We start from the raw sequence: 13,191 nt of genomic DNA, 5'->3' as shown, positions 1-13,191 counted from the left end.
GTTGGCCACGCTGGTCTTGACCTCAGGCGATCTGCCCTCCTCGGCCTCCCAAGGTGCTAGGATTACAGGTGTAAGCCACCGCGCCCAGCTGTTAGAACCTTTCTTTCCCTCAATAAGACTTCTTGCTCCTCTGCAGGAGCCCAAGATGGTGCTAGTCTGAAAAGCCCCACAGGTGTGGCTTCTAATGAACTGAACCCTATTAAGAGTCACAGAATTAACATGGGCGGAAGCTGCTGCCAGGCTGGACTGAAAGGGCCAGGCAATACAAGAGGCCTTGAACCCTCAGGTTCCTACCAGCGGGAAGTAGGAAGATAAAACTCTCCAGCTGCAAACACAGGCTGCCTTTTGTGAAAAAGAAGGATAATTCAGAGATGGAGCCAGGAGCCTGGAGGACTGAGGCTGGCTTAGGGGACTGCCAGGTGATGTGTGCCCAGCTGGATTTCAGACTTGCTGTGGGCCAGGGACTCCTGGGAGCATTTGCAGCAGGTGTCCTAGGTCTGTCCCCGCTGTTCATTGCGGTGGGGGTGTGTGTGTGTGTGTGTGTGCATGTGTGTGGTGGGGGCTGGGGACAGTCTTTACATGGAGAGAGGCTCAACACAGGAGCTGTCAGGAGCCTCCTCCACAAGGCAGTGGATTCAGGTGAGATTCTGGGCTTTTTAAACTAGAATGCTTAGTTTCAAATCTAACAACACATGTATGGGACCTGTATGCTGAAAACGGCACAACCCTGATGAAACAAAGATCTAGTAAGTGGAGAAATGTAACTTGTTCATGGATTGGAAGACTCAATATAGATGTCAATTCTTGGGCCGGGCGCAGTGGCTCATGCCTGTAATCCCAGCACTTTGGGAGGCTGAGGTGGGCGGATCACCTGAGGTGGGGAGTTTGAGACCACCCTGACCAACACGGAGAAACATCATCTCTACTAAAATACAAAACTAGCCAGGTGTGGTGGCGCGTGCCTGTAATCCCAGCTACTTGAGAGGCTGAGGCAGGAGAATCGCTTGAACCTGGGAGGCGGAGGTTGTGGTGAGCCTAGATTGTGCCATTGCACTCCAGCCTGAACAACAAGAGTAAAACTCCATCTCAAAAAAAAAAAAAAAAACAATTTTTGCCAGGTGCAGTGGCTTACATTGTAATCCCAGCACTTTGGGAGGCCAAGACAGGTGGATCACCTGAGGTCAGGAGTTCAAGACCAGCCTGGCCAAGATGATGAAACCCTGTCTCTACTAAAAATACAAAAAATTAGCTGAGCATGGTGGTGTGCGCCTGTAGTCCCAGCTACTCAGGAAGCGGAGGCAGGAGAATCGCTTGAACCTGGGAGGCGGAGGTTGCAGTGTGCCGAGATTGCACCAGTACACTCAAGTCTGCGTGACAAAGCGAGACTCCGTCTCAAAAAAAAAAAAAAAATTGTCAGTTCTTCTAAATGGATGTATGTAGTTACAATGGAATTCCTATCAAAATCTCAGCAATATTTTTTGTAGATGATGGTTCTAAAATTTATGCGAATGTAAAGGAACTAGAATAGTTGAAAGTTTTGAAAAAGAACAAGGTGAATAGAATGAGCTTATCTTTTTCAAGGGTTATATGACATCAGGACTGTGGTGTCGGTGGAGGGATAGACAGATCAGTGGAGCAGGACACAGAACCCAGAAATAGACCCACAAAAGTCTGGCAAACTGACTTTTGCAAAGGTGCAAAAGAAATTCAGTGGAGAGGCCGGGCGTGGTGGCTCACGCCTGTAATCCCAGCACTTTTGGAGGCCAACACAGGCAGATCACGGGGTCAGGAGATCGAGACCATCATGGCTAACACAGTGAAACCCCGTCTCTACTAAAAATACAACAAATTAGCTGGGCATGGTGGCGGGTGCCTGTAGTCCCAGCTACTCAGGAGGCTGAGGCAGGAGAATGGCGTGAACCCGGGAGGTGGAGCTTGCAGTGAGCTGAGATCGCGCCACCGCACTCCAGCCTGGGTGATGAGTGAGACTCTGTCTCAAAAAAAAAAAAAAAAAAAAAAAAAAATTCAGTGGAGAAGGATGGTATTTTCAACAAATGTGCTAGATTGGCTGGAGCAAAATCCAAGAGCAAAAATGCAAGCCTCAACCTAAGTCTCACATCTTATAGAAAAATTAACTCAAAATGGATCACAGGCTTAAATGTAAAGTGTAAAATATAAAACTTGCAGAAAATTGTTGGCATCTAGGGCTAGGCAGAGTTTATAGACTGGACAGCAGAATCACAATCCATAACAGGAAAAATGGACAAATTGGGCTTCATCAAAATTAAAAACTTGTGGCTAGGCATGGTGGCTCATGCCTGTAATCCCAGCACTTTGGGAGGCTGAGGTAGGAGGATGGCTTGAGGCCATGAGTTTGAGATCAGCCCTGGCAACATGGCAAGATCCCATCTCTACAAAAAAATTTTTAAAAATTAGCTGGACCAGGTGCGGTGGCTCACGCCTGTAATCCCAGCACTTTGGGAGGCCAAGGTGGGCAGATCACCTGAGGTTGGGAGTTTGAGACCAGTTTGACCAACATGAAGAAACCCCGTCTCTACTGAAAATACAAAATTAGCTAGGCATGGTGGCGCATGCTTGTAATCCCAGCTACTGGGAAGGCTGAGGCAGGAGAATTGCTTGAACCCGGGAGTTGGAGGTTGCAGTGAGCCAAGATCGTGCCATTGCACTCCAGCCGGGACAAGAAGACCGAAACTCCGTCTAAAAAAATAAAAATAAAATTAGCCTGGTTGGGCACAGTGGCTCATGCCTGTAATCCTAGGACTTTGGGAGGCTGAGGCGGGCGGATCACCTGAGGTCAGGAGTTTGAGACCAGCCTGACCAACATGGAGAAACCCCGTCTGTATGCAAAATTAGCCGGGTGTGGTGGTGCATGCCTGTAATCCTAGCTACTCAAGAGGATGAGGCAGGAGAATCGCTTGAACCTGGGAGGTGGAGGTTGTGGTGAGCCGAGATCGCGCCATTCTACTCCAGCCTGGGCAACAAGAGTGAAAGTCCGTCTCAAAAATAAATAAATAAATAAATAAAAATTAGCTGGGCATGGTGGCACAGACCTGTAGTCCCAGCTACTCCGGAGGCTGAGGTGGGAGGATCCCTTAAGCTCAGGAGTTTGAGGCTGCAGTGAACTACGATCACACCAGTGCATCCCATCCTGGGTGACAGAGTGAGACCCTGTCTCAAAAAATAAATAAATAAAAACTTTGGTTCTGCCAAATACCGTTAAAAGAATGAAAAGGTCCGGACGCGGTGGCTCACACCTGTAATCCCAGCACTTTGGGAGGCCAAGGCGGGCGGATCACGAGGTCAGGAGATCGAGACCATCCTGGCTAACACGGTGAAACCCCGTCTCTACTAAAAAAATACAAAAATTAGCCAGGTGTGGTGGCGAGCGCCTGTCGTCCCAGCTACTCCAGAGGCTGAGGCAGGAGAATGGCGTGAACCCGGGAGGCGGAGCTTGCAGTGAGCTGAGATCGCACCACTGTACTCCAGCCTGGGCGACAGAGCGAGACTCTGTATCAAAAAAAAAAAAAAAAAAAAAAAGACAAATCCACAATTACATTCGGAGATTTCAACACTGCTCCCTCAGTAATTGATAGAACAAGTAGATTAAAAAAACTATAAGGAAATAGGTGTGAGCCACCTTGCCTTTAATTTTTTTAAATTGTGAAAGATACATGAGGTATACAGAAGAGTATAGAAAATAACATAAAGCCTCTGCACACATAACCACTTTTGTGAAATCTTTGCCAAGATGGCTTCCAGATCCTTTTTGTTAATTCCTGATCCTTTTGTTAGTTTTTTTTTTTTTTTTTTGAGATGGAATCTTGCTCTGTCACCCAGGCTAGAGTGCAGTGACACCATCTCGGCTCACTGCAACCTCTGCCTCCTGGGTTCAAGCGATTCTCTTGCCTCAGCCTCTGGAGTAGCTGGGATTACAGGCGCCCGCCACTGCGTCCGGCTAATTATTCTATTTTTAGTAGAGATGGGGTTTCACCATCTTGGCCAGGCTGATCTCGAACTCCTGACCTCATGATCCACCCGCCTCGGTCTCCCAAAGTGCTGGGATTACAGGTGTGAGCCACCGCGCCTGGTCTTGTTAGTTTTTATGGAGGTGAAATTAATATACAATAAACCACTTAAAGCATACAACGTAGTGGCATTGATACATTCATAATGTTGTGTGGCCACTCCCTCTATCTAGTTTCAAAACATTTTCATCACCTCAAAAGGAGACCCTGTACCCAGTAGGCAGTTGCTCCCCATTCCCCCCAGACTCGCGCATCCACTTGTTATTTGCCTATTCCGGACATTGCATGTAAACGGAATCATCCAGCATGTGACCTTTTGTGATAGTGTTTCTTCAGTCCCAGAGTCAGGCAAGGGAGACTTGGTCAGCCCTATCCTAGGGTCCCTGCTACCCAAGCCAGCCCCATCCCAGTGGCTTTGGGGAACCTGCCCAGAACAGCCCTGCAGCACCAGAAAGGCATGGGCACCAGGCCAGCCCCGCCCTTCCCTTCAGGGCTTCATCAACGCCAGACCACCATGGACCTGACACAAGGCGGCTTCTCCTGTATGGGAGCAGGTAGCATTCTCAGAGGGCCATCAGGAGAGCAGGTGGTGGCAAAGCCACAGACTGTCACTATGGTGGGACAAACCCCTTTGCTCTGAGGCTCAGCTTCCTTATCTGTAAAATGGGGAGGATTCCAACACCTTCCCGTGGGCTAGTCCACAGCAAGGGCTAGCTACACAGCACTGTGATGACTGACCCTCAGCCACGGCAGGCCAACTGCCCCACAGCAGCCTGAAACACGGCCCTGATCTGACTCCTCTCACATAAGGGAGAGGTCTAAGCCCTGAGACCCAGCAACCATCTCTGGCCAGCAAGTGTGTCCCTGTAATCTGCCCTGTAGGAGGGCTTTGAAATGCTTTTCGGTTTTATGGAGATCATCAAGGCAAATGGGACATTACTTTAAAGGGGCACAGACTCGTATTTCTGTCTTTTTTTTTTTTTTTTTTTTTTTTTGAGACGGAGTTTCGCTCTTTCCCCCAGGCTGGAGTGATGTGATTTCGGCTCACTGCAACCTCCGCGCTCCCCAGGTTCAAGCGATTCTCCTGTCTCAGCCTCCCAAGTGGCTGGGATTATAGGCGCCCGCCAGCACGCCCGGCTAATTTTTGTATTTTTAGTAGAGACCGGGTTTCACCATGTTGGCCAGGCTGATCTTGAACTCCTGACCTCAGGTGATCCACCCGCCTCGGCCTCCCAAAGTGCTAGGATTACAGGCATGAGCCACCGCATCCGGCTGACTCTATTTCTTAATCCACTAAAAGCCCTTAATAATTATCCAAGTAATGGCTGAGAGGGGTGGGTAGATATAAGTTAATCAGTCACACAGCTCTGACGTTTGTGATTTGAAGTGGTTGTCTCCAGTCCACAGGGGCCAGGATGGAAACCCAGCTCAGGAGGGGCTGCCATGGGCAGAGCCTCGCCCCGGGCACAGGTGCCCTCATCCTCTTCTGGCCACTTTCTGCTCTGGTCCATGTCACAAAGACACTTGTCTTTGGGTAACCTGGCCAGCACAGCCTGACTGTTGCAGGTGGGGGATTACCGGACCCCAGCGAAGAGAATGGCCTGGACGCCTGCTCCAGCCCTTCTCCCCTCCCCAGCCCCGCTGGGACTCCCACTCTTCCAGACAGGTGAGGCTGACTCCAGCCAGTCCTGGTGTCAGCTGGCCTGGCTTCGCAGCCTGCACCGGACTAGCCTTACCAGGCCCAGAACCTGTTGGGAGGCCCCAGCCTGACCCCTGGGAGCCCCGATGCCTCCCCCAGCATCCAGCCCCAGGGGTGCTGCATGGCCTCACCCATAGCCTATTCCCGGAACCAGCCGGCCTCCATGCATCTGTCTGCCCACAGTGTCCACTGTGGGACGTGGCCACCGAGCCCCACGGTGGCCAGGGGACACAGGTAGCTCTTTCTCCCGTCAGACCACCCCTTCTCCCCACCCCCACCAAACCCTCAGGGGACGCACATGGGGAGGCACTGGACCGCAGGGTCCCTCAGGCCCCTCCCACCCCAGGGGCCCCTCGCCAGGGGTGGGGAGCATTGTTCTCCTGCACCTTTGAGAAATCATCTGGTCTGAAATAAATCCCGCCCTACCTCAGTGGAATCTCCAGAGTCGGCGGATATCCACACAGCCCAGGGCCAGCACACCTGGCCGTCAGAGGCCCGCCCTGGGTCAGGCGGCTCATCTCAGCCAGGACACACCCGAGCCCCAGCACGGGAGGCTGGAGAGGGAGGCAGGGACCCCCTTCCTGGGAATTTGCTGGAGACCCCGAGAGCGGGGCACGGCCTCCTTCCGCTGCCCGCCACCCTCTCCTCTGCAGGGTGCTCATCCCTAGGGACCCCCCAAGAGTCCGGTCTCCCTGGGCCTGCTGTGCTCGGACGGAACCAGGCCCCAACCCCGCCTATCGCCAGAAGGAGCCCTGCAGCACGGTCCGCCCTCGGCGACCATGAGCGAGGGCCTAATTCACACTGTGCAGGTGCAGAAGTGCGACCCGAGAGGGCGAGCGACCTGCCAACGGCTACACAGCGGGCAGACGGCAGGCGGGAAGGCGGCGGCGGCGAGCCTCGGGCCCCGAGACCGCGCGCCCCGGGCTGGGTCACCGCCTGAGCCACGGCTAGTGCCGACCGGGCCCTCCTCGCTGCGCGTCCTGCCCCGCCGCCTCAGGTCGCCGCCGCCACAGGTCTTGCCTTCTAGGCCTGGAGGACGCCGCCGAGTGCCAGGCACGCACGCGCGCAGGGGGCGGGGCGTCGATCCGGGGGCGGGGCCAGACCCTCGCACAGGGCGCGCTGCGGACTCGGTGGGCGGTGCGAGCCTGGGCGCCTGGAGGCCCCGCCCCCTCCGTCGGCGCGGCGCGGCTGAGGGCCGGCGTGGAGAAGGCGGCGGCTGACGGGCTCGCGGCGGCGGCGGGGCGCGGGCGGCCAATGAGGGCGGCCGGAGGGGGCGGGGCGGCGGCCGCGGTTTTGTTCCGCCGCGGCTGAGGCGCGTCGCCCTGAGCGAGCGGGGCCTGGGCGGCCGGCAGTCTTCTCGCTCCGCACCCCCGCGGCCGCGCTCAGGTACCGAGCCCGGGCGGAGCGCGCCGCCGCCCCCTCCTCTCTTGTCCACGCTGCCCATTCCTCGGCGCACCGGCTCCGAGCTTTGCCCGCGGCACGTGGAGGGCGCGGGCGGTCGTGGGCGCGGGGCCCTGCGCTCCGAGCTGGGCGCGTGGACTACGTCCCCCTGCCTCCGCCGTCTGCGCCGCCCGTCGAGGCGACTTTTCCGCACGAGGCGAGGCCCGCCCTGGTGGCCCCGCGCCGTGGTTCGGTGGCGCGAGAGGCGGGGAGTCGCCGTGGTAAACGGGGCCTTGGGGCGTCCCGAAGGGGACCCAGACGCGGGAGGCCAGACTTCCCCGGCGACCCGAGGAGGGGACTTGCGGCGGATTCCGAAGCCGCTTTTTCTGCGTAGCCTGGGGGTGTAAATCGCCGAGATTCTCCTGTGTGGAGAAGGCGCCGGTGCCCGCCCGCTGCTGCCGGACTCTAGAGGGGTGTCTTTTTCCGTTAATCTGAGCGCAGTCGCGGAGCCCCTGTTTCCCACGCAGCCTGTGTTAAGTGGCCTCGTGAGTTTTCGCGCGGCATCCTTGGTGCCTCTTCTTTGAAGCTAAGTTTCCATAACTCTAAAGCACTTTTCGTTTTAAACTCAAACCAGACTCACACTTGATGTTTCTATGATCATCTATCTCCCAGTACGGATGGATGAGTTTGGCTTCAAGAATGTGCTCGTGGCTGGTGCCAAGGGAGTGAGTTTTCTCTGTTGCTTGTTCAGTCCATTACAGATCGAACTCCTTGTTCCACTCTTTCCCCTTTCTCACTACTGCACTTGACTAGTCTTAAAACGAAACAGAAAAGGAAAAGAATGTGCTTCCGTTTCACAATATTTAAGAAATTTAACCTGAACATATTGATGCTGCTTTAAACACCCTCCTGTCGCCTGACCTTCTCCCTCATCAGAGTGGGTGCTAGAAGGGAAGTGCACCCTTGCACCCTGAAGGTAGGCTGGGAAACGGTTTTGATTTATTTGAAGCTCTTCAATATTACCCCAAAATGGAAACTGACATTGTTTAGAAACAGTGACTTTTCTTTAAATTGGGTTAGTTAGCGCAGGAAAACTAGGTGGTAGTTCTTTCAGACAATTGTAGTTTTCCCTCGTCCGGCGCCATTGTCCCGCCTCCTTGAGTCCTCCTTGTGCGCTGGGTACTGGCAGTCCTGATCCCCTTCTGTGGCTTGATAGTTGATTCCCCGTGCTGTCCCGTGAACTTAGAGCTTTTGATTCTGCAGCTTTGTCCCTCTGTTGTGTTCTGTGTTGCGACTTTGAGGGTCACACTCACTGAGGCCTTGGTAATTGTCCCGCCCCTTTGGATGCGTCCTTATGTTTCTTAGATTGCACGTGGGGACCACAGAACGTTTTTGTTACCACTTGAAGTATATAAGAGAAAATGCCAAAGTAATTTTTTCTTTTTTTTTTTAGTGCATGCATTTCTAGTTATAGAGGTAGTTGCTCTATAGTGAGGCCTTTCTAGTTATAGAGGTAGTTGCTCACATGCAATGATGTGCACAGGAAACAGAAATAGGAAGAGGCTCTAATCCGAGAGAGTACACATTTTTAGCTGGTAGATAAAAGAACTAAGAAAACAGGTATTTTTCACCGGTGCATTGGGAACAGGGAAAATGTTTTTCTAAAAAAGGAAATTAAGGCTAGGCGCGGTGGCTCACACCTGTAATCCCAGCACTTTGAGAGGCCGAGGCGGGCAGATCACGAGGTCAGGAGATCGAGACCATCCTGGCCAACATGGTGAAACCCCGTCTCTACTAAAAATAGAAAAATTAACTGGGTGTGGTGGTGCGTGCCTGTAATCCCAGCTACTCGGGAGGCTGAGGCAGGAGAATCATTTGAACCCAGGAGGCGGAGGTTGCAGTGAGCCAAGATGGCGCCACTGCACGCCACCGTGATGACAGAGCCAGACTCTGTCTCAAAAAAAAAAAAAAAAAGGAAATTAAAAATTTTTATATAAACTCTTTTGGCATTTTCTGCAATGATATTAAAGAAAAATTGAATTTCACAATCTGTTAAGCATTTGTTATTAAGTGGTTATAATTTGAAAATGTGTGTCAGGGACTCAGGAACTCTCACATGTGTTATGTAGTTTAATCTGATTCCTTGGAGCCTCATGAAGTGGGTGGTTTCTTCTCATTTTCAGTTTCCAAGGAACCCAGGCCTGGAGAGGCGGTTACTTGTCCAGGTGAAGTTCCTTGGCCTGGCTAGTGAGTGGGCCCAACTGGTGTCTGAACCCGGGGCTTTGTGCAGCTGTCCAGAGCTCACCTTGTGTTCTTTACCTCACAATGAAATTACTTGGTGCAGTTTATCTTTTTCCATGTGGTGATATGGTGCAGCCTGTTCTCACCAGTGGAGTGGTTACAATGATAATCTTCATTTTACGATTTGAATTTCTTGGCCAGGCTTGGTGGCTCACACCTGTAACCCCAGCATTTTGGAAGGCTGAGGCAGGAGGATCACTTGAGCCCAGGAGTTGGAGACCAGCCTGGGCAACATAGTGAGACCCCCATTTCTACAAAAAATAAAAATAAAAAATGAGCTGGGTATGGTGGTGTGCACCTGTAGTCCTGGCTACTTGGGAGGCTGAGGTGGGAGGATTGCTTCAGCCAGGGAGGTGGAGGCTGCAGTGAGCCTAGGCAACAGAGAGAGGCTTCATGTCAAAAAAAAAAAAAAAAGATTTGAGTTTCTTCTCCTTTGTTGGGTTGCAAAAGGAACACTTCGAATGTGGTTTCAGTGCACTTAAAAATAGCGAGTTCAGCCGGGCGTGGTGGCTCACACCTGTAATCCCAGCACTTTGGGAGGCTGAGACACGGGGAGAAACCCATCGACCTTGTGGGGCTGGACCCTACAAGGTGGGTAGGTCACCTGAGGTCAAGAGTTGAAGAGCAGCTTGGCCAACATGGCGAAACCCCGTCTCTACTAAAAAATACAAAAAATAGCTGGATGTGGTGGCGGGTGCCTGCAATCCCCGCTACTTGGGAGGCTGACGTGGGAGAATCACTTGAACTCGGGAGGCTGAGGTTGCAGTGAGCTGAGATCGCGCCGTTGCACTTCAGCCTGGGCAGCAACAGCGAAACTTCATCTCAAAAAAAAAATCGAGTTGCTAGACACTATACCTTCTGCCCTCACACATGCAGGACCTCCTGTATGACTAGCATCCCCCACCGGAGTAGTACGTTTGCTACAGTTGATGAACCTACATGGACACATGCTTATTATCCAAAGTCCATAGTTGACATCAGGTTTCACTCTTGGTGTTGTAGTCTATGGATTTAGACAAATGTGTAATGACCTTTGTCAACCATTATAGTATCATGCAGAATAATTTCACTGCCTTAAAAATCTGTGCCCTGCCTCACCTCTCTCTACCCCTGGCCCCTGGCAGCCACGGTTTTTTTTTTGTTTGTTTTTTTAAATAGTCTCCACAGTTAACCTTTTCCAGAATGCCATATGGTAGGAATTATACAATACGTAGCCGTTTCAGACCCGTTTCTTTCACTTAGTGACATGCATTTAAATATCTTCTGTATTTTTTGGTGGTTTCATAGCTCATTTCTTTTTAGTGCTAAATAATATTACACTGTCTGGATGTACCACACTTTATCTGCTCACCTACAGGAAATCTTGGTTGTTTCCAAGTTTTGGCACTTATGGATACAGCTGCTATGGGCATCTGTGTGCAGGTTTTGTGTGGACATAAGTTTTTAGTTCCTTTGGGTGAATACCAAGGAGCAGGATTGCTGGATCATGTACACAGTTGCTCCATATCCTCCTCAGCACTTGGGTGTTGTCAGTGTTCTGGATTTTGGACATTCTAATTGGTGTGTAGTGGTACCTTGTGTGTAGTGGTGTGTTTTTTTTTTTTTTTTTTTTTTTTTTGAGACGGAGTTTCACTCTCGTTGCCCAGGCTGGAGTGCAATGGTGCGATCTCGGCTCACCGAAACCTCCGCCTCCTGGTTTCAAATGATTCTCCTGCCTCAGCCTCCCGAGTAGCTGGGATTACAGGCATGTGCCACCATGCCCGGCTAATTTTGTATTTTTAGTAGAGACGGGGTTTCTCCACGTTGGCCAGGCTGGTCTTGAACCCTGACCTCAGGTGATCCACCTGCCTCGGCCTCCCAAAATGCTGGGATTACAGGTGTGAGCCACCGTGCCCGGACTTTTTTTTTTTTTTCTGAGACGGAGTCTTGCCCTGTCGCTCAGGCTGGAGCGCAATGGTGCGATCTTGGCTCACTGCAACTGCCGCCTCATCCTCCCGAGTAGCTGCGCTTACAGGCGCCTGCCATCATGCCCAGCTAAATTTTGTATTTTTAGTAGAGATGGGGTTTCGATGTGTGGGCCAGGCTGGTCTCGAACTCCTGATCTCAGGTGATCCACCCGCCTCGGTCTCCCAAAGTGCTGGGATTATAGGCGTGAGCCACCACACCCGGCCCCAGTTGGTGAGGGGTCTGTGAAAGTCTTTGCCCCAATTTTTTCTTTAGTTGGGTTGGGTTCTTTTTTTTTTTTTTTTTTTTAATGGAGTTTCCCTCTTGTTGCCTAGCCTGGAGTGCAGTGGTGCTATCTTGGCTCACTGCAACCTCCGCCTCCTGGGTTCAAGGGATTCTCCTGCCTCAGCCTCCCGAGTAGCTGGGATTACAGGTGCGTGCCACCACGCCAGGCTAATTTTTGTAGTTTTAGTAGAGATGGGGTTTCACCACATTGGCCAGGCTGGTCTCGAACTCCTGACCTCAGTTGATCCACCCGCCTTGGCCTCCCAAAGTGGGATTACAGGCATGAACCACTGCACCTGGCCTTTTTTTTTTTTTTTTTTTTGGAGACATGGTCTCACCCTGTCACCTAGGCTGGAGTGCAGTGGCATGATCTTGGCTCACTGCAACCTCAGCTCCTGGGTTCAAGTGATTCTTCTACTTCGACCTCCTGAGTAGCTGGGATTACAGGTGTGTGCCCACACGCCCGGCTAATTTTTGTAGTTTTTTGGTAGAGATGGGGTTTCACCATGTTGGCCAGGCTGGGGTTGTTTTCTTATTGTTGAATTTTAAAATATCTTTTTATATTTTGGATAATGGTTCTTTGTCAAATAAGTCTTTTGCAAATATTTTCTTTCAGTCTGGAACTGTTTTTTATTCTCTTGACAGTGTCTTTTGCAGAGCAGATATTTTTAATTTTAATGAAGTTCAACATAACAATTCTTTCTTTTATGGATCGTGCCTTCAGTGTTGTATCTCAGAAGTCATCGCCAAACCCAAAGTCATCTATATTTTTCTCTTGTGTTATCTATCTAGTAGGATTTTTATAGTTTTGCCTTTTACTTTAGGTCTGTGATCCATTTTGAGTTAGTTTTCATGAAGGGGGTCCATACACTCCATGTCTTTTTTTTGAGATGGAGTCTTGCTTTGTTGCCCAGGCTGTAGTGCAGTGGTGTGATCTCAGCTCATTGCAACCTTTGCCTCCCGGGTTCAAGTGATTCTCCTGCCTCAGCCTCCCGAGTAGCTGGGATTACAGATGTACGCCACCACGCCTGGCTAATTTTTATAGTTTTAGTAGAGGTGGGGTTTAACTATGTTGGCCAGACTGCTCTTGAACTCTTGACCTCAAATGATCCACCCACCTCGGGCTCCCAAAGTGCTAGGATTACAGGCGTGGGCCACCGCACCCGGCCTCATGTCTTTTTTTCTTGTGGATGTCTAGTTTTTCAGCAGCACTTGTTGAAAAGACTCTCTGTTCTCTATTGTATTACCATTGCTCCTTGGTCAAAGATCAGTGACTGTGTGGTTCTATATCTGGGCTCTCTGTTCTGCCTGTTCCATTGATACAATTGTCTGTTCTTTTGCCCATCCCACACTGTCTTTTTATTTTGAGACAGGGTCTTGCTCTGTCACCCAGGTTGGAGTGCAGCAGTGCAATCATGGATCATTGCATCCTCCACCTCTCGGGCTGAAGCAGTGCTCCCACCTCTGCCTTCTAAGTAGCTAGGATTGTAGTCACGCAGGTAATTTTAAAATTTTATGTAGAGATGGAGTCTTGCT

At 51.2% G+C, this 13,191-nt stretch overlaps 1 protein-coding gene across 23 annotated transcripts in view, besides 4 other annotated features; it reads left to right on the top strand.

The window, feature by feature from the left end:
- Positions 5,291-5,910: an enhancer, noted in NCBI's record as "H3K4me1 hESC enhancer chr4:1687181-1687800 (GRCh37/hg19 assembly coordinates)". NCBI's record gives its function as "activates a minimal SCP1, AML or CMV promoter by ChIP-STARR-seq in naive H9 embryonic stem cells {active_cell/tissue: H9 hESC(naive)}" and the evidence as "EXISTENCE:reporter gene assay evidence [ECO:0000049][PMID:30033119]".
- Positions 5,347-13,191, top strand: part of FAM53A (family with sequence similarity 53 member A) — a 111,956-nt gene continuing 104,111 nt past the window's right edge. For 7 of the 23 annotated variants that reach the window (XM_047449668.1, XM_024453912.2, XM_047449671.1 and 4 more), the window contains exon 1: positions 7,051-7,131. The gene's annotated coding sequence lies outside the window, so the exon portion shown is untranslated. The other 16 variants (XM_047449670.1, XM_047449666.1, XM_047449669.1 and 13 more) reach the window with 10 other exon arrangements.
- Positions 5,911-6,530: an enhancer, noted in NCBI's record as "H3K27ac-H3K4me1 hESC enhancer chr4:1686561-1687180 (GRCh37/hg19 assembly coordinates)". NCBI's record gives its function as "activates a minimal SCP1, AML or CMV promoter by ChIP-STARR-seq in naive H9 embryonic stem cells {active_cell/tissue: H9 hESC(naive)}" and the evidence as "EXISTENCE:reporter gene assay evidence [ECO:0000049][PMID:30033119]".
- Positions 6,506-7,445: a silencer, noted in NCBI's record as "silent region_15137". NCBI's record gives its function as "represses an Ori minimal core promoter by ATAC-STARR-seq in GM12878 lymphoblastoid cells {active_cell/tissue: GM12878}" and the evidence as "EXISTENCE:reporter gene assay evidence [ECO:0000049][PMID:35858748]".
- Positions 7,546-7,645: a silencer, noted in NCBI's record as "silent region_15136". NCBI's record gives its function as "represses an Ori minimal core promoter by ATAC-STARR-seq in GM12878 lymphoblastoid cells {active_cell/tissue: GM12878}" and the evidence as "EXISTENCE:reporter gene assay evidence [ECO:0000049][PMID:35858748]".

The sequence above is a fragment of the Homo sapiens genome, chromosome 4, assembly GCF_000001405.40.
Source record: "Homo sapiens chromosome 4, GRCh38.p14 Primary Assembly".
Classification (NCBI taxonomy): domain Eukaryota; kingdom Metazoa; phylum Chordata; class Mammalia; order Primates; family Hominidae; genus Homo; species Homo sapiens.
The sequence above is the reverse complement of the archived record's forward strand: the minus strand, read 5'-3'. Positions and strand labels throughout refer to the sequence as shown.